The 18,610-nt window shown below is 54.0% G+C and overlaps 1 protein-coding gene and 1 long non-coding RNA gene across 11 annotated transcripts in view, besides 9 other annotated features; one reads left to right on the top strand and one right to left on the bottom strand.

Annotated features, from left to right (window-relative positions):
- SH2B3 (SH2B adaptor protein 3) overlaps positions 1-18,610 on the bottom strand; it is a 46,894-nt gene that overhangs the window by 6,745 nt on the left and 21,539 nt on the right. For 6 of the 10 annotated variants that reach the window (XM_011537720.4, XM_047428025.1, XM_011537719.3 and 3 more), the window contains exon 3: positions 21-140. The exons of 3 other annotated variants lie outside the window; for them this stretch is intronic. In XM_011537720.4, the coding sequence (XP_011536022.1) occupies positions 21-140 (120 nt within the window). Of the gene's footprint in view, positions 1-20; positions 141-9,851; positions 10,018-18,610 lie in introns of those variants that run through there. One more of the 10 variants, NM_001291424.1, reaches the window with a different exon arrangement.
- LOC124903019 (uncharacterized) lies at positions 134-12,395 on the top strand. Its single transcript, XR_007063462.1, has 2 exons — positions 134-6,931; positions 7,795-12,395. It is a non-coding gene; the product is annotated as an uncharacterized LOC124903019 (long non-coding RNA).
- Positions 495-614: an enhancer, noted in NCBI's record as "active region_7035". NCBI's record gives its function as "activates an Ori minimal core promoter by ATAC-STARR-seq in GM12878 lymphoblastoid cells {active_cell/tissue: GM12878}" and the evidence as "EXISTENCE:reporter gene assay evidence [ECO:0000049][PMID:35858748]".
- Positions 2,050-2,236: a silencer, noted in NCBI's record as "fragment chr12:111880447-111880633 (GRCh37/hg19 assembly coordinates)". NCBI's record gives its function as "represses an EF-1alpha promoter that drives an FKBP-Casp9 reporter gene in an ReSE screen in K562 erythroleukemia cells {active_cell/tissue: K562}" and the evidence as "EXISTENCE:reporter gene assay evidence [ECO:0000049][PMID:32094911]".
- Positions 4,191-4,735: an enhancer, noted in NCBI's record as "H3K27ac-H3K4me1 hESC enhancer chr12:111877948-111878492 (GRCh37/hg19 assembly coordinates)". NCBI's record gives its function as "activates a minimal SCP1, AML or CMV promoter by ChIP-STARR-seq in naive H9 embryonic stem cells {active_cell/tissue: H9 hESC(naive)}" and the evidence as "EXISTENCE:reporter gene assay evidence [ECO:0000049][PMID:30033119]".
- Positions 5,748-6,261: an enhancer, noted in NCBI's record as "H3K4me1 hESC enhancer chr12:111876422-111876935 (GRCh37/hg19 assembly coordinates)". NCBI's record gives its function as "activates a minimal SCP1, AML or CMV promoter by ChIP-STARR-seq in primed H9 embryonic stem cells {active_cell/tissue: H9 hESC(primed)}" and the evidence as "EXISTENCE:reporter gene assay evidence [ECO:0000049][PMID:30033119]".
- Positions 7,965-8,544: an enhancer, noted in NCBI's record as "H3K27ac-H3K4me1 hESC enhancer chr12:111874139-111874718 (GRCh37/hg19 assembly coordinates)". NCBI's record gives its function as "activates a minimal SCP1, AML or CMV promoter by ChIP-STARR-seq in naive H9 embryonic stem cells {active_cell/tissue: H9 hESC(naive)}" and the evidence as "EXISTENCE:reporter gene assay evidence [ECO:0000049][PMID:30033119]".
- Positions 8,545-9,124: an enhancer, noted in NCBI's record as "H3K27ac-H3K4me1 hESC enhancer chr12:111873559-111874138 (GRCh37/hg19 assembly coordinates)". NCBI's record gives its function as "activates a minimal SCP1, AML or CMV promoter by ChIP-STARR-seq in naive H9 embryonic stem cells {active_cell/tissue: H9 hESC(naive)}" and the evidence as "EXISTENCE:reporter gene assay evidence [ECO:0000049][PMID:30033119]".
- Positions 9,635-9,764: an enhancer, noted in NCBI's record as "active region_7034". NCBI's record gives its function as "activates an Ori minimal core promoter by ATAC-STARR-seq in GM12878 lymphoblastoid cells {active_cell/tissue: GM12878}" and the evidence as "EXISTENCE:reporter gene assay evidence [ECO:0000049][PMID:35858748]".
- Positions 9,825-9,914: an enhancer, noted in NCBI's record as "active region_7033". NCBI's record gives its function as "activates an Ori minimal core promoter by ATAC-STARR-seq in GM12878 lymphoblastoid cells {active_cell/tissue: GM12878}" and the evidence as "EXISTENCE:reporter gene assay evidence [ECO:0000049][PMID:35858748]".
- Positions 13,836-14,145: an enhancer, noted in NCBI's record as "active region_7032". NCBI's record gives its function as "activates an Ori minimal core promoter by ATAC-STARR-seq in GM12878 lymphoblastoid cells {active_cell/tissue: GM12878}" and the evidence as "EXISTENCE:reporter gene assay evidence [ECO:0000049][PMID:35858748]".

The following is an 18,610-nucleotide window of genomic DNA, read 5'->3' as shown; positions in this document are numbered from 1 at the left end:
CCGGGGTCCGCCACAGCTACCTGGTGGTATGGGTGTCCTATGCCAGAGGCTCCAGCCAGGTTGCAGCGTGTGGGCACATGGGCGCAGGACAACCCCTGCTTCAGTCGAAACCTCAGCCTGGACAGCTCAGGCTCTGGCCACTGCAGGGAAGGACCACCAGATGCCCATCAGATTAAGCTATATGGGGGGATGGGTGAGAGGGGAGACAAGCTCAAACCTGGGGGCTGTGTCAGCAGCTGTGGGGGCTTTAGGTTCCCTCCTCTCACATGCCCGCTATTCCACCTCCCTCAAAAGTCAAGCCAGGCCAGCAACAGCTGCTCCCTGGACCTGCTTAGGCTCTACTGTGGTTGGGTGATCAAAGTGGCCAGATCATTTCAGGTATTTGTGGTTTGAACAGTAGACTGTCACCCACCACATCCTGCAGCGTCTATTTCTGGGGAGCAAGTCTTCTCCATTCCCAGCATCTAAACAGATGGCTTCTGTTTGTTATGGCCACTGTGGCTCCAGTGGGAATAATCTATTTCTTTCTTTGCTCTGGCTGCTAGGAATCTCAAAGTCAAAGACGTAGGCCAGCTCTGACACTACCCCAACGGTAGGACTTGTATTTATTTCAACAGCTAACTTTATCCCAGATGTTATAGTTCTTTTATCCTCTAGGGTTTTTTGTTTTTGTTTTTGTTTTTTGAGACAGATTCTCACTCTGTTGCCCATGCTGGAGTGCAGTGGCGCAATCTCGGCTCACTGCAACCTCCACCTCCTGAGTTCAAGCGATTCTCCTGCCTCAGCTTCCGCAGTAGCTGGGATTACAGGCACCTGCCACCACACCCAGCTAATTTTTGTATTTTTAGTAGAGCTGGGGTTTCACCATGTTGGTTGGCCAGGTTGGTCTCGAACTTCTGACATCAGGTGATCCGCCTGCCTTGGCCTCCCAAAGTGCTGGGATTTTAGGCATGAGCCACCACGCCGGGCCCTACCCTCTAGGTTTTAAGATTCAGCCCTGACCCTGCCACTTCCTATACAACCCTGGACAAAGGGTTCGGCTCTCCATGCCTTAGTTGTCATCTGTAATTCAGCTCATTTTTTCACAAGGTGAGCTAACACAAGCGAAAGGCATGACTCGCACAGCTGTTAACAGGCCGGTGAGTAAAGCCTGCTTGGCTCCCACTACACTACTGACAGCATGACAGTCCCCTCTGAGTAGCCTAGCCACTGGGTACACCCCCAGCTTCTCTCAGCCTTACAGAACTATTGCCCCATTTTGTCACATGCTCCCTTACCATCCTGCAATAAATTCCACGTAATATAACCAACATACTACCCTAACTAATTACAAGACAGGGACAACAAAGGACTGTCACTTAGCCGAAATAAAACGTGCTTCAGTGCAACTGTAGACAACACAACCAACTACTTGGCTGCTTCTGAGTTTGTTGTGAAAAGAAGGCTAAGAACATAAGGGAGCCAAAGGGCGGGGGAGCTAGGAAAGCCAGCCTGGTTCCAGATCCACCCAGGGTCCACATGGAAATGCAGTTCCAGGCTCCCTTCAAATGGCCCTGTGCTGTGATCAGTCCCCCTGCAAAGGTCTCTGAGCCACAGTCCCGTCATCTGAGAAGTGAAGATGAAACACCAGCCTCGTGGGGTCACGCAGCTCTCCCTGACTCCCGCCTACCTGAGGATCCCTCTTTATCCCACCTGGCTGTTCAGCCCGCCTGGAGGGAATGTGACGGGCTGGAGGCAACAGACCCTTCCTCTCTAGGCCTCACTTGCCCTCATGCTGTTACCTGGAAACTGTCTTGCTACCTACTGCCCCTTCTGTGTGCTGAGGGACAGGGGACCTGTCTTGGCACAAACATTTATAGGGCCAGGATGGTCCTTCTAGAGTCTTCCGAGGTACTGGGCCACACCCCACCCTGCCAGGTCCTCATAACCAGCTTGAGTGGGGTCTGTTACTGGCTTTGCCCTCAGGCATCCAGCAGAGACAGGCAAGTCGGGGCAGGGCAGGGCTGGACACACCAGTCAAAGGCCAGAGCTCTGGTGGCGTGACCACACCTACGTGGAGAGCAAGGCTGATGGCATGGCCTCCCCTGGTGAGAGAGCAGGAAGAGGCACAGGTGAGCCTGCCACAGCAGCCCCCAGAAGCCACCATGGGGCTTCAAGGCTGTGGGAATCAGCTTGAGCTTTTTCTAAGGTGGGGAAGCTCTTAACAGGAGCAGGCCTGCTGGCTGTCCCCCTCCTCCTGGGACGCTGGAGGGCAGGACACAGGGCAGCATCTGACACACCCCAGCAGCAAGGGCTTGGCCCAGACCAGCCTTGGGGAGAGACCGCCCACCCCCGGGAACCCCCAGGCCACACTAGCTCCCTGGTGGTCTTACCTTCCCCAGAGCCTTTGAGCCCACATTCATCGGTGTACAGCAGCAGTGGGACAGGCCTCAGTCGACCCTCCAGCACCAGCCACGCCTCTGCCACACCTATGCCCTCAAGGAGGCATCTGGCAGCCTGGGCCTAGCTCTGCAGGTGGTTAGAAGAGCCCTAGCTCTACCACTTACTTACCTTTGAAACCTTGGGCAGGACACTAACTGGAGGTTCAGTTTGCTTTCAGTAATAGGGGGCCCGTAAGCAGGTCCTGTTGACCTTCTTACTGGAGGAGGAGAGGGAGGGGGTCTGAAAAGGCGCAGAGCAAATTCCAGATCCTGTCCTGGATGGCTGATCCCTCACCCCAGCCCAGAACCTGAAGTGGATGCTGCCGGGATGGATGAATGAGCATTATTATGGAAAATACTTAATCCAAGCTTACTGTCTAGTATCAAAAAGTTAACCTACTTGGGAAGCTGAGGCAGGAGAATCACTTGAACCTGGGAGACAGAGGTTGCAGTGAGCTGAGATCACACCACTGTACTCTAGACTGGTCGACAGAGTGAGACCCTGTCTTAAAAAAAAAAAAATTCCTTGCCTTCTTCCAAAAATGATTTTAGTCAGGTTAGAGACACCCAGAAAGAGCTGGGAGACAGCTGCTACAACACAGACAAGAGTCCCTCTTGCCACAGATTTGTCTCAGCTTCCTGGCAGCCAATGCAAAGGATTCTCCGAGAGAGGACAGTCATTTGTGGAAAGAGAATGCTGCTGCTTAGCTCCATTAAAGACTCTGAGAAGTCCTGCAGCAGAGAAACCTATTAAACCCATGCATTACCCAGACTTTGACCTATTTCATAGACCTTATTACCATCCCAAGGTAATATGGGATTGAGGTGAGGAAGGTCCTCACCTCGCAAACTCTCCTTAAACGTGGTGCGTCTCAGCCATTCTCTGGGGTGGGCAGCATCAAGACTGAGCCTAGTTGCTAAAAGCCATCCAGTATCCTGCCCAGAAATCCCTCAGGGCTACAGAACCATGCAGCAACTCCACCACCCTGAGGTTTGGGACACTTAGTCCTGTGCTTGAGTCCCAACTCTGCCTTCTCTTCCATAGGTAAGTGACTCACCTCTCCTAGCCTCAGTTTCCAATTTTTTTTTTTTTTTTTTAAGAGATAGGGTCTTGCTCTGTGGCCCAGGCTGGCTCACTGCAGCCTCAAACTCCTGGGGGCTCAAGTGAGCCTCCTGCCTTGGCCTCCCAGGTAGCTGGGATTACAGACACATGCCACCACATGTGGCTGATTATTTTTTTGTAGAGATAGAGATAGGATCTCGCTATGTTGTCCAGGCTGGTCTCAAACTCCTGGCTCAAGTGATCCTTCTGCCTCGGCCTCCCAAAATGAGTCTCCACGTGTGTGTATGTGTGTATTTTGTTTTTGAGGCAGGGTCCCTCTCTGTTGCCCAGGATAGAGTATAAACTAGCTCACTGCAGCCTTGACCTCCTGGGCTCAAGCAAGAGTCTGCATTTTCTAAGGTGGGATAATAATGCCACTACCCTTCCCTGAGAATATGAGCATAGTGTGTGCAACAGAGCTCCCAGAGGGTATGGAAGGATCTCAGGGGAATGGTAAGGCAGGGAGGAGCACAGGGCCTTAGGAGCTCAGCCTTAAGAGAGACTTGGGAGCAAGAAGGCCCCTCCCTGGGCAGCCCTCCTGAGTTGTCACTCCCCTGCTCCCATGCACCAGAGGCTCAAGAAGGCCTCCCTCTTCCTTTTCCATCTTTCGGTCTTGGCCCAGCACAGAGAAAGGAGCAGTAGCGTTTGCTGAATATTCTCCGAAGTGGGGATGGTGGAGAAAAAGGCACTGGAGGTTAAGGGAATAGCAAGAGCCAACACCCAGAGGGCAGAAGGCACAGCCCCAGGCTAGAAGACAACAGGGGCTTGACTGTGGCTGGAAATGACGCTCACAGACCCCACACCACCCTTTAGTGAGCATCTGCTGTGTGCCAGGCATTGGAGCCTGGGTGGCCCACCAGCAGTTTCCAGATTGTGGAATTCACAGGCCGGCAACATTTTTCAAAAAGTTTTCCAAGAGGAAGTCACAGAAATGGGCGTCACACCATCAAGGACACGACGAAACCAAGTAGGACGTCATGGTTCCAGAGCAAAGGACAATCCTGGGCATCATGGACAGTGAGATTTATGAAGGAGAAGCCTCACCACCCTGCCCCGGGCCAGCTCCGTGCAAGGAGCAGTGTGTGTGAGCCTCACGTGGCCCTCCTGTGCCTTCACCTACTTCACAGATGAGAAGGCTCAAGAGACCTCCAAGGGGGAGGGAACACAGCACAGGGTGCTTCTATGACCTTCTGGCACAGGACATCTGGAAGGGAGTTTGGAATCTGCATTTTAACATGGGACCTGGGTGGATCTGAAACCCACCGGCGTCTGAGCTGGCTGGGGTCTGAGGGAGGTCAAGAGAGCTGGGCAGGGAGGCCTCTGTCCCCCATCTTCCCCCCAGATGCCAGGGAGCCACAGAAGATGTGCAGGAGGGGAGGCACGGCCCATCCCTCAAAGGCAGAAAGTGGTGGATGCTGGGAGCTGAGCAGCCAGGATTCCAGTCCCAGACAACTGCTGGGGGAAAGGGGTATTCACAAGGAGCCCCCAGTGAGGAGAGAGGAGCCAGGCTGGAAAACAGTGTGACACCTGGGCCCTCTGGGAGTTGGGCAGCATCAAAAACTGCCATCTGTCCCATCAGACTACGCCCAAGTCTGTCCAGAATTAGCTATTTCCACCCCCACGATGCTGCTCCAGCCTACCCTCCTCTGCTCAAAACTCCCCTGCAGCTACAGGAGGCTGAAGCAGGGAGGTTGAGGCTGCCGTGAACTATGATGGTGCCACTGCACTCCAGCCTCGACAACAGAGCAAAATCTCATCTCAAAAGAAACTCCCGGCTGGGCGCAGTGGCTCACGCCTGTAATCCCAGCACTTTGGGAGGCCGAGGCGGGCAGATCACAAGGTCAGGAGTTCAAGACCAGCCTGGCCAATATGGTGAAACCCTGTCTCTATTAAAAATACAAAAATTAGGCCAGGTGCGGTGGCTCACACCTGTAATCCCAGCACGTTGGGAGGCCGAGGCAAGGCAGATCACCTGAGGTCAGGAGTTAGAGACCAGCCTGACCAACATGGAGAAACTCTGTCTCTACTAAAAATACAAAATTAGCCAGGTGTGATGACACATGCCTATAATCCCAGCTGCTCGGGAGGCTGAGGCAGGAGAATCGCTTGAACCCAGGAGGCAGAGGTTGTGGTGAGCCAAGATCGTGCCACTGCACTCCAGCCTGGGCAACAAAAGCGAAACTCCATCTCACACAAAAAAATACAAAAATACAAAAATTAGTCGGGCATGGTGGCAGGTACCTGTAGTCCCAGCTACTTGGGAGGCTGACGCAGGAGAATCACTTGAACCCGGGAGGCAGAGGCTGCAGTAAGCCAAGATTGCGCCACTGCACTGCACTGCAGCCTGGGCAACAGAGCAAGACTGTCTCAAACAAACAAACAAACAAAAACAAAAACTCCCCTGTGGTCCTCATCTGAGAGACCCTTGTTACCTCCTCAGCCTCTTGGGCCTCCCTCCCTCGCTCTGATCCAGCCACACTGGCCTCCACTCTTCTTCAGTGTGCCAGGTGCACTCGGGGCCTGTGCCCTCAGAGAGGCAGCTCCCCCCACAGCTTCACAAATACGACTGCTTTTCAAAGTGTCATCTCCTCAGGGAGGCCCTCCCTGACCACAGTATCTAAATCCTGAGCCGCAAAGCCCCTTCACTTCCTTCCCTGCCTGTTGTCCTATGAGCTGGTCTTGCGCATTCCTTGATGCAGGTCTCTGCCGTGACTTGGCTTTGCTCACGTGGTGTCCTTGGCCGCGAGCCAGTGCCTGCTAGGTGGTGGGTGCTCAACATTCATCATAAGCCTTTTGCTGGCTAAGCATCCTTTGTGCTGGGTAACGGGGGGCATAGGGGATGATTGCCCCTACTGCCATCCCCCACCCCAGTGAAGACCATGAGTGATAGGGATGCTACAAGCCAGTGCTCTCAGGGCTGGGGTGGGCCTCCCAAGGCCCCTCCAGCTGGCCAGGGAAGAGGGCAGGCTGAAAGGCAGGCTCAGGTGTGTCAGCCCCCTGACCTCCCCGCAAGGGCACCATCAGGAGCCCCCATGCTACAGACTCTGGGAGGCAAAATCACACAGTGCCCCAGCCATGGGGAATAGCGAAGTTGAGCCAGGGCTCCAATCCTCATCTGCCCACCCCCAGCCCCAGCACCCCCAACACCTGGTCTCCCTCCAGCCGCCTTCCCGCCCACACCTTCCCCTGCCACCCAGCCCCTGCATTTGTGATGCCCTGCCTGACCCAAACTGCATGTCCCAGCAGAGAAAACCTCCTCTCCTCCAGGGAGCCTTCTCTGACCACTGAGTCATGATTAGTGCAATTCCTGTGCCTCTCCCTCAGCACTGAGCTTATCGAACCGGCCATGGTTTCCTGATGACGCAACTGCCTCCACCATCTGACTGGGAGAGTTCCTCTTGGGGTTGGGGTGGGCACCAAACCTTGCTGCCAGCTGAGGCCCAGCCCTGGGGCAGGCCCAGAGGAGGTACTTGGAGGGTTTGCCGGGTGGATGGATGGATGAGCACTTGGGTAGGTACCTGGGACCCCCAAGCTCTCAAGTGCCTGGGAAGCAGAGGGAGGTATGGGGTGTGATGGGTGATCTCAGCCCCCTTTTCCCAAGCTCCTTGGGGGGCAAACTGAAGGCAATGAGCCAGTTCCAGCGACTGAATCAGTGTGGGAACTACAGGCCACAGGGCGCTTCTCTGCTATGCCCCCCACCAGGACCCCAAGCCTGGCCCCTCCTTCACAGACCCTTCAAATGCAGGGCCCTGAGCAAATTACTTTGGCCTGCTGTGCTTCAGTTTCCTCACCTGTAAAATGGGGATGATAATGGAACCCACTCCTTGGACTTCTGCAAGTGAGCCTGCCTGCTGCCCTGAATGCCCAGTGGGCCCAGTCCACAGGGCAGCGGCTCCTAGACCCCCACCACCCTGTTCATTATGGGCCAGATCCCCCCTTGGTCTGCACCCTGCTGCCTCAGGTGCCCTTTCCCCACAGGGGAGGAGGAAAGAGAAGGGAGAAGCTTCCAGAAAAGCCACATGGCTGCCAGAAAAGCCCTTTCCTGGCAAGAGCCCCCCAATGCCAGAAACAGAAACCTCCCCAGCCAGAACATCCCCCTATTTCCCAGACATCTGAGGGCTTTGGGGGTCCCAGGCCCCTACCCAAGTGCTCATCCATCCGTCACCCAGTAAACCCTCCAAGCACCTCCTCTGGGCCCAACCCAGGGCTGGGCCCCTACTGGGAGCAAGGCTTGGTGCCCACCCCAACCCTGAGAGGAATTCTCCCAGTCAGATGGTAGAGGCAGAGACAGACATGGTGAGTGTGACACCCCCAAATACAGAATCCCTGTTCAGAGTCAGATCCCCCCTCCAGGCAGGTGGCACCCCAGCTCACACTGAGTGACTGAGTGTGGTGTGGGCAACAGGACACACACCAGCCTGCTTTTCCCGTGTATGTGTGTGGCGGGAGGGGGGCGGGGGAAGTGATTAGCCAGAGATGCTGGGACAGACAGGACTTGGGGACCTGTCTAAAACCCCACCCAGAGTGAATTCCCCTCAGTTCCCATCATGGTCCTCCTGCATGTCAGAGAATCACAGGGACACAGACACAAAGCCCCCTCTCAGAGAGACAGCAACCACCCCCAAGACAGAATCATGATGGCAAGGACACAGAGCCCCTTTCAGATGCTAGAGTGGCCTCCCTACAGCGACAGACACCCAGAGGAAGACCTTCACACAGGGAAAGACAGCCCCCACCACACCTGCTTCCAGACCAGCCCAGAGTCCCCAGCAGCAACATGGTCCCCTCCTCAGATATGGGTGCCGACTCCACCAGGTGGCCAAGGGTGGAGGGGCCAGTTACACATGGCCCCTGCAGCCTGCTGTGAGGATGGTGGGACGCTTCTACTCTCGAGTCGGCTATGGTGGGGCTATGCGCAAGGCCTGGGGACAGTGGCTTATGAGGGATGATGCCTGGAAAGCCCTACACTCCCTACCCCGCAGTGGGCACCTTCCCCAGCGCTCTCATCCCAAAACATGGACAGGAAGTCCAGGCCCCATCCAGCCCACCTGGCTAGGAGGAATGTCCTGGGATGGGCCTTGCAAGGAGCAGGATGGAAGGAGGGGAGCCACACCCCCAGGGCCTTTTCCCTCCACACCTTCACTCAAGCTGTGCCCTCCGCACAGGGCACCATTCTGGCCAAACCGCTGGGCTCTCAAGTGCCAAATAAGGACAAACAACTGTCAGGCACCGGGAGCTGCGCTGCAGTGACAGCCAGCGGACCAGCACATGGCACAGGGCATGCAGCAGCTTCCATCCACCTGCCCTGTCCCCAGCAGGCCTGAGCCACTTCTGAGGACAAGATGGCATCTCTGGGCGGCACTCAGCTCCATACACGGCAGGGCCACCAGACCCCACTCCAGGCCTGGTCCCAGCACACCTCCCCTGCTGCATGCCAGCTGCCGTCAGCCCACGCCTCGCACGACCACATCCTGCTCCCAGCTGTCCCCATAGGAATCCTTCCTGCCCCCACTGTGGCCAGCCTGGCTAAGCCCAGCACCCCTGCCCTTGGCCACACCTTTTTCAGGTGACGCCTTCTGCGCCTCGCCACCACAAGGCCATGGACGCCCCAAACCACGAGTGCCAGGCTGTGCTGGCCTCCAGACAGAAGGGAGAGCAAGCAGCTCCCTTGGCAGGGAGGGGGCAAGCCTGGCTCCCTGCAGTGGGTGGGGGTTGTTCACGCCTGTAACGAGCACTTTGGGAGGTCAAGATGGGCGGATCACTTGAGGTCAGGAGTTCGAGACCAGCCTGGCCAACATGGTGAAACCCTGCCTCTACTAAAAATTCAAAAATTAGCCAGGCGTGGTGGTGCATGTGTAGTCCCAGCTACTCAGGAGGCTGAGGCACGAGAATCACCTGAACCTGGGAGGCGGAGGTTGCAGTGAGCCGAGATCGTGCTACTGCACTCCAGCTTGGGCTACTTCAAGATGCCCTCTCAAAAACAAAAAAAACACCAGTGAGGACTGTAGCCAGGCCCCGCATCTGTGACGATCACCGAGGGTATCATGGGGCCCCAGGGCTGGGTCTACTGTAGCACACACCAGTGGGGCCAGGTCCCCAGGCTTGAATGGGGCACCGACGGCCCATCCCCCTGCCACAAAGCCAGGACCAGCTCGGGGAAGCCCCGGCCAAGCATCTGCTCTGCACCGGGTGTGGGTGGAAAAAGATGTGGTTAAGAAACAACAAAAAACCTCTGTCGCCCGTCTCGGGTGGGGAGAGTGCACCAGAGGAGAGGGGACTCATCACCACCAAGATCCCCAAAGCCCCAGACAACGGTAGCTACTGCCTGCCTTCGAAGAACGATGATTCAGAAGAAGAGGTGAGAGCAAGGGCTTCTGGGGTGGAGGGGCTCCCAGCCAACTGGCACAGCCAGGCCAGGTCCTCCTCCAGCCACGGCACAGCACCGGGAATCCCATGTCCTTCTGAGCTCCACCCGGCACGGACTCTCATTACTATCATTTTAGCTCCTGTTTACTGAACGTTTACCATGTCACAGGCCTTGACACACAGCCTCTCACTGACATCACAAAACAACAGGAAATCACACCAGCCACCCATAACAAAAGCCAGCTGGATTAAATAATTAAAAGTGAAAAAGGAAACCAAGACAGAACTAGAATAAAACCTAAATAATTATTTATCTGATCCTGGGTGGGGAAAGGCCTTTCTAAGGTAAAAAAGCAAAGAATAAAACCATAAAGGCGAAGATCACTGGATTTTACTGCCTGGAACTTGCAAACCCCCATAGGTCAAGAAATGCAGGAACAAAATTGAAAAGTCAAATCGGAAACCAGGGAAATATTTGCAACATGGGACAGAGCTAATATCCGTGCCGTGTAGTGTTCACAAATCAAGAAAAAGGCAAGCAGTGCAGGAGACAAACATGCTGAGTAAATAGCCTGATAAATCACAAGAAATGTGTATGACCAAGGAACAGAAGAGAAACAGTCGAAATCCACGGGGACAGAAAGATCAGTGGTTGCCACGGGCTGGAGGCAGGGAGTTTGGGGACTGACTGCTCCAAGGTTTTTTTCTAGGGTGATAGAAATGTTCTGGATTAGATAGTGGTGATCATTGCACAATTGTTTAAATATACTAAAAGCCAATGCATTGTACAATTTAAACAAGTGAATTTTATGGTATATGAATCATATCTCAACTTTTAACAAAGAGAAATGGTCACACTTAGGATAAGATAACCACTTTTCATCCAGAAGGTGGCAAAGGTTTTTAAAATAATACCCAGTGCTGGCACCACTGGTGACAAGAAGATATATGCGTATGACCTTTCTGGAAGGCTACTCAAAAATAATGTATCAAAAGAATAAGAAATGGCTATTAGGCAGATGAAAAGATGCTCAACACCATTTTCCATTGGGGAAATGCATATCAAAACCACACTGAGGCTAAACCCGGTAGCTCACACCTGTAATCCCAGCATTTTGGGAGGCTGAGGTGAGAGGACTGCTTGAATCCAGGTGTTCGAGACCAGCCTGGGAAATATGGTGAAACCCCAGCTCTTCAAAAAACAAAAACAAAACAAAACAAAACAAAAAACCACATCACGTAGTGTAGTGAAAAACAAAAATTAGCTGAGTGTGGTGGTGTGTGCCTGTAATCCTAGCTACTCAAGAGGCTGAGGTGGGAGGATCACTTGAGCCCAGGAGTTTGAGGCTGCAGTGAGCTGCCTCTGCACTCCACTGCACTGCACTCCAGGCTGGGTGACAGAACAAGACCCCGTTTAAAACAAACAAACAAAAAAAACACCACACTGAGAAACTACTTCACACCCTTTAAGATGGCTGGGATGGCTACAATCAAGAAGACAGACAATAACAAATATTGGCAAGGACATGGAGAAACTGGAGTCCTCTCACGCAATGATGGTGGGAATATAAAATGGTACAGTTGCTTCAGAAAACAGGTTGGCAGTCATATTTATTTTATATATAGTCATTTTTTTTTCTGAGTCAGAGTCTCTCTCTGTTTCCCAGGCTGGAGTGCAATGGCATGATCTTGGCTCGCTGCAGCCTCCACCTCCTGGGTTCAAGTGATTCTTCTGCCTCAGCCTCCTGAGTAACTGGGATTAAAGGTATCCACCACCACGCCCAGCTAATTTTTGATTTTTAGTAGAGACAGGGTTTCACCATGTTGGCCAGGCTGGTCTCAAACTCCTGACATCAAGTGATCCACCTGCCTTAGCCCCCCAAAGTGCTGGGATTACTGGCGTTAGCCACCGTGCCCAGCCCAATGTAATTAAACATAGAATTACTGTATGCCCCAGCAATTCCACTCCTAGATGTATCCCAAGAGAAATGAAAACACAGATCCACACAAAAACTTGTCCACGAATGTTCATAGCAGCATTATTCATAACAGCCAGAAAGTGGAGATAACCTGATGTCTATTAAGTGATAAACAAATAAGCAAAATGTGGCAAGTCCATACAATGGAGTATTTTTCAGCCATAAAAAGGAACAAAATACATGCTGTAACTTCGGTGAACCTGGAAAACATGATGCTAAGTGAAGGAAGCCAGACACAAAAGGCTGCATAGTCTGATTCCACATATGTGAAATGTCCAGAATAGGTAAATCCCTGGAGACAGAAAAGAGATGAGTGGTTGCCAGGGGCTGGGGAGGGAGGTATGGGGAGTGACTGTTCATGGGTACAAGGTTTCCTTTTTTGATGACGAAAATGTTCTAAAATTAGATTATGGTGAGGGTTGCACAACTCTGTAAATATACTAAAAACCAATGAATTATACGCTTTACACAAGCGAATTTTATGGTTTGTAAATTATATCTCAATAAAGCTTTGAGAGCAAGAACGGATCAGAAGTGCTCATAAAAGCCTTGACCCAGCACTCCCCTTCTAGGAACTGAGCAGAAGAAAATCATCAGAAGTGGGCACCAAGACTGACATAAGGTGTTCATCCCAGGGTCATCTATACCAGCAAAAAAGTTAAAAATGGGCTGGGCGCGGTGGCTGTAATCCCAGCACTTTGGGAGGCTGAGGCAGGCAGCTCACCTGAGGTCAGGAGTTCGAGACCAGCCTGGCCAACATGGTGAAACCCCGTCTCTACTAAAAATACAAAAATTAGCCGGGCGTGGTGGCACATGCCTGTAATCCTGGCTACTCGGGAGCCTGAGGCACGAGAATCGCTTGAACCTAGGAGGTGGAAAAAAAAAAAAAAAAGAATACAGAAAAATGTTCAGGACACAAAGTGAAAAAAGCAGGTGACCAAATAGTATGAGGAATGCCAGGCCCGCAAAGGCTGAAGCTTTTGTCCACAAGCTCCTGCCTGCAAGGGGCTCCAGACAGAATTGTGCAAAAAGTAATCCCTTCCCAGCAATTGCTGAAGGAATTGGAATTTGGAGGCGGAGGCAAAGTTAAAGACAGAGAAGAGGCTGGGTGTGGTGGTGGCTCACGCCTGTAAATCCCAGAACTTTGGGAGACCTAGGCGGGAGGACTGTTGAGCCTAGGAGTTTAAGACCAGCCTAGGCAACATAGTGAGAGTTTGTCTCTACAAAAAAACTTAAAAATTAGCAGGGCATGGTGTCCTGCTAATGTCTATGCTAATAGCAGCATTAAATAGTCCCAGCTACTTGGGAGGCTAAGGTGGGAAGATCACCTTGAGCCCAGGAGGTTGAGGATGCAATGAGCCGAGATGGCGCCACTGCTCTCTAGTCTGGGGGACAGAGCAGTGTCCCCCAGTCTCAAAAACAAAACAAAAATGACAATAATGACATCTACCAAAATGGAAATGCTGGTTCTCTCTGGGTAGTGAGATTGTGGGAGGTTTTTCTGTTACTGTTTTTTTTTTTCTTTAAATAGTTTCTGCCATGAGCTTTATTAATTGAAAAAGCAAAATAAAAAACATTAGGAACTCAGACATGGAGGCCCTCGGCAAGTTAAAGACAGTTTCCTAGATTACATGGGGTACCCAGATGAAGACAGGGCAGGGCCCCCTTCCAGGTGGTTCCCTAGAGAGAGGTTTCTCTCTCCTCCTACAGTGGTGCCCCTGTGTGTAGAGCTGAGGTTGGGGTTCGAGTCAGGCATGGGGTGGGGGGTCCCAGGCAGCAGCCACAGCGAGGGAGGTCCAGAGGCCAGGTGGCCCTTAATCGCCCCGATGTACACTGTCACCCAGTGGTTCCAGAGGCCAAACAGTGGGCGGGGGCCACAGCCTCCTCCTCAACTCAGAGGGGAGATAGGAAAAAGGGGGTATGGGGCCCCAGAAAGGAAGCTGAGGTGGCCCCTCCTGCACTGGGAGAGGAAGCCCCCCCCGCCACCCACCCCCGGCCGGCACTCGGAGACCTCTTCTAGCGCAATCAGTTTCCTTTTCCATTCACAAAGAACTGGGTGGGGGATTTCCAGCAGCGCCAATGGGGCCAGCCAGGGGTTGCTGTGGGGAGCAGCCAGGCTGCTGCCCATCCCGGGGAGGGACCCTGGGGACCCACCTGTGGGATCTGGTGGCCTCCTTCCCCTTTTTCTGCCCTTCAGGGTAGGAACACATCATGCCAGCTACTCCCTGAGCCTGCAGTTGGCTCAAAACAACCCACTAAGGCAAGTGCTGGCATCCCATTTTCTGTAATGAGCCACTGAGGCGCAGAGAGGCCAAGTTCTTGGCCCAGAGCCACACAGCAAGGATACAAGAGCCAAGATCTGAACCTGACCCTGTCCATCTGCCCTTCTCCAGCGTCCACCCTTCGCCCCTGGACCCTGACCCTGAACCTCCAAGCCCACAGCCCTGACCCCACAATGGTCTCATCTCAATACCAGCCTCGAAAACAAACAAAACAAAAAAATACCACACCAACTTCCAAGAAGCCAGTAAGAGCAGCCAGGCCTGGTAAGCAGGACGGGGTGGGGATGGACCATAATAACTTAATTACCTCCCCCCTTGTTGGATTCAGGGCACTTTCTAGGCTGTGGATTCGCAGAATTTGAGCTGAAAGGAAGCGCCCCGATACCATCTGCCCCCGTGGTTTCAGCGCGGTCGGGGGTTTCTTCTAAGCGGCAAAGCACTTTTTCAAAAACGATTTTGCATGGAACCCCAATAAGGGGGCAGATGGGGCGGCAGTGTGTGTGGCTGGGGCCGCAGGAGCCCTGCCCAACCCCCTCCGCCTTCCCCATCACTCCCAGAAGGCCACTGCAGGCACCCACTTCATAGCTCAGAGAGGACTGGGACCTACCTGGGTCACATGGCAGCCCAGGACAGAGTGAGGATGGGACCTCCGTTCCTACCCCAGGAGCCTCTGCCGCTGGTCCCCCAGGAGACGTGGGCCCAGGAAAAAACCGGCTTCTTAAGCCTGTGTGCCCGCCAGGACCTGAGCTCTGCCTGCCTGCCAAGACCAGGGCTCAGTCTGCCCTGCTTGCCGGGATACAGGCTCGTTCTGACGGTGGAGGGTGGGTGCTTTCTCTCTGCCTGTTCTGGGGCCTAAACACAAACCCCCTGCCCCTGGTGCCCCCCGGCCTTGGCAGACCCACCAGGGACTCTCATTTCCTGCCTTGGCCACCTACCAGCTCTGGGGCCTCGGGCAAGTTTCTGGACCTCTCTGTGCCTAGTTTTCTTGGCTGTGAAATGGCTTCATCACTGTCCCCACCTCCGGGGTTTGTGATAAGGATTCCATGGGATGTGGCGGACACAGTGCCTGTCACATGAAAACCAATTAATAAAAATGGGCCGGGCGCGGTAGCTCACGCCTGTAATCCTAGCACTTTGGGAGGCCGAGGCAGATGGACAGCCTGAGGTCAGGAGTTCGAGACCAGCCTGGCCAACATGGCGAAACCGCGTCTCTACTAATAATACAGAAAAATTAGCGGAGTGTGGTGGTGGGCGCCTGTAATCCCAGCTACTCGGGAGGCTGAGGCAGGAGAATTGCTTGAACCCTGGAGGCGGTGGTTGCAGTGAGCCAAAATCACACCACTCTGCTCTAACCTGGGCGACAGAGCGAGACTCTGTCTCTAAATAAATAAATAATAAATAAAAATGACAACGCCAGTGATGCCTGCAGCAGCAAAGCCTTGCAGGCCCCAGCGAACACTGGCTGTGTTGGGCACAGCTCTAGGTGCTTCCCAGACAGCACTCAGTTGATCCTGGGGCCAGAGCCATCATTCAGCTATTTTTACTTGAGTAAACTGAGGCACAGGGAGGGCAAAGTGCCTTCCCCCGGGTCACAGGCTCAGAAGGGCAGGGGCAGGCCAGGGCCGCGCCTGTCAGAGCCCGAGGCGGCTTCCTGCCGTCCCTCCTCCTCCTCCTCCTCCTCTTCCTCCTCCTCCTCCTCCTCCTCCTCCTCCTCGCACTCCTGCCCCGAGAGGAAACCGCCAGGCCTCCGGCGGACGTCCCTTTCTTTCTGCTTCCCCTTTCCCACACCCGGAGGCATGGGGGTGGCTCCTGCATCCCCGCCCAGGCTCTGGGCCCAGAGCCCGACTCCTGTGGCCTCCCCGGGTCTCAGTTTCCTCCTCTGTAAAGGAGGTGTGAGGGCGGTGCCACCTGGAAGAATCACGGCAAGGACGGACGGGCACGGCCCTCCTGTGCCCAGGCAGGGTCACAGCCCACCCAGAGGGAGCTGCCCACCTGTGCCTCTGCCTCCCCTGCAGACCCAGGCACACCCAGGAACTGAGGCCCCCAAGGGATGGGTCACTCATCAGACACCCGGGCTCCTGTGCTATCTCTTGGGGGGACTTTGTGCTCCCAAAATCAAGGTCAGAGTGGCCTTGTTCCAGGGCTTCTGGGTGCCCCAAATGTCTCCTGCCAGAAGGGTGGGCCCGAGGCTGCCCCTCACCTGCCCTATCAGTGCTTACCGTAGCCTGCCCCCCATGACACTTCCCATTTTACAGAAAACTGAGGCCCAGCAAGGCCAAGTCACACACCAGGGACACCTGGCTCGAAAGGGGATGAGTGGGGATGGCTCTGAAGCACATTTACCCCCGAGTCGCAGCCACTCCTACCCAGACCACTGCCTCCTGGGCACTCAGGCCTGTGATGCAGCGGGGGGCTCAGGGCTGAGGGCTAAGTCCCCCTGAGGCATCCCCCAGCCCCTCTTCTACCACTTCTCCAAGCTGGGCATCAGAGGCCATGGGTGGGATGTGCCAGGCAGAGTCCTCTGTGCCAGGTGAGGGGCGCTGGCCAGCCCCCTCCAGGCCTCGGTGTTGGCATCTATAAAATGGTGGCATTGGATAAAATGGCCACAGGAGCTTTTCCTAGTCCAAGAGCCCAAAACAGGTGCCCCCACCCATGCAGGGCCCTAGTTAACAGTGCCATCAATAATACTGACAGTAAGTCCTTCTAAGGACTCACTGCTCACAGGGGCAGCCAACTGCCCAGGTTCCAAGCCCCTCTCAGCCACAGGGGCTGTGAGACCTTGGGAAAGCCACCTAAGCTCTCTCAGACCTAGTCTCCCCATCTGTGAAATGGGCCTAATGGCGCAGCTACCCTCACAGGGCTGCTGTGAAGATAAAATGAAGCCAGGTCAGTAAAGTGCCTGCTGTATAAGGAAAGCCCAATAAATGGTGGTTTAAAGGGCATTTATCAACAGCTAGAACTCCATCATGTCCTCCACTGTACAGATGAGGGAAACTGAGGCTCAACCTCCAGAACCACCAGGGCTGGCAGGACTTCAAGACCATCTCAGCTAATCCATGCCTGGGCATATGTGGAAACTGAGGCCCGGCAGGCTGGGCATGCTCCATTTGAAATGGGAGCCCCACCTCCCCGGGAAGGTCTGGGGCCCAAGGCCAGCTACTCCAGCCTAGCAGCTGCTTCTGGAATCTTTCTCCTTCCCCAGGGCCCCCACTGCTGTCGCCTCCCCGTCAGGCTCTACTGCTGAACCAGTGGCAGCACAGGCCAGGCTGGGACCCCCTCCAATGCCGGCCTGGCACCGCCAGATCCTCTGATTTTTTTTTTTTTTTTTTTTTTTTTTTTTTCCTGAGATGGAGTCTTGCTCTGTCGCCCAGGCTGGAGTGCAACGGTGCAATCTCAGCTCACTGCAACCTCCACCTCCTGGGCTCAAGTGATTCTCCTGCCTCAGCCTCCCGAGTAGCTGGGATTATAGGCACACGTCACTGTGGCCAGCTAATTTTTGTATTTTTAGTAGAGACTGGGTTTCACTATGTTGGCCAGGCTGCTCTTGAACTCCTGACTTCAAGTGATCCATCTGCCTTCGCCTCCCAAAGTCCTGGGATTACAGGTATGAGCCACCGTGCCCGGCCGATCCCCGGATTCCATAAGAGAAACCAGAAGTCTGGATTCTGTGAAATCTCTCCACTTTAGGTTGTAAATGTGGCAACCAGTGCAATTTCCTTTTCTTGTAACTGCCAGGTGAGACGCACACCTCAGGCCCAGCCCAGCCTGGAGCTGGGTTATACACTCTCTGGTTTGAACCAGTTCAGCAGGGGGCCAAGGGCTTGGGGTTAGGGGCCCCTTGGGATCAAGAGTTCCTGTCTCAGGGTTCAGATCCCCTTCACTTCATGATCCCAGGCAAGTCTCTTTGCTTCTCCCAGTGCCTCAGTTTCCTCATCTGTCAAATGGGTCAGTGAACTCCAGCTCATGGGAAGGTCCAAGAATTTAGGGCAACACCTGGCACACAGAGGCACACATTCAGGGCCATGAATGTTGGGGCTCAGAAAACAACACCCCAAAGAAAGGTGCTGTGGCATGCTACGTACTTGAACTAAAGAAGACTAGAAGGGCTCAGAAGGGGCCCTCAGAAGCAAAGTCTCTCTCACCTCCTTCTGCCTTCCTGTCTCTCTCACCCTCCTTCTCCCCTGAAGTGAGTCATAGAAACTAGGCGGCTGGGCACAGTGGCTCACGCCTGTAATCCCAACACTGGGAGGCCGAGGCAGCAGGATCACTTAGGGCCAGGAGTTTGAGGCCAGCCTGGGCAACATAGCAAATCCCCATCTCTCTTAACAAAAAAAAAAAAAAAAAGATAAAAGAAAAACGGAACCAGAATTCTTCCTCAAGGTGGGTCATAGAATCTAGAACCCCTCTCCCTGAAAGCCAGCCATAAAACCTAGAAATATAACTCTAACCTTCCCCTACCTT

The sequence above is a fragment of the Homo sapiens genome, chromosome 12, assembly GCF_000001405.40.
Source record: "Homo sapiens chromosome 12, GRCh38.p14 Primary Assembly".
NCBI lineage: Eukaryota > Metazoa > Chordata > Mammalia > Primates > Hominidae > Homo > Homo sapiens.
The sequence above is the reverse complement of the archived record's forward strand: the minus strand, read 5'-3'. Positions and strand labels throughout refer to the sequence as shown.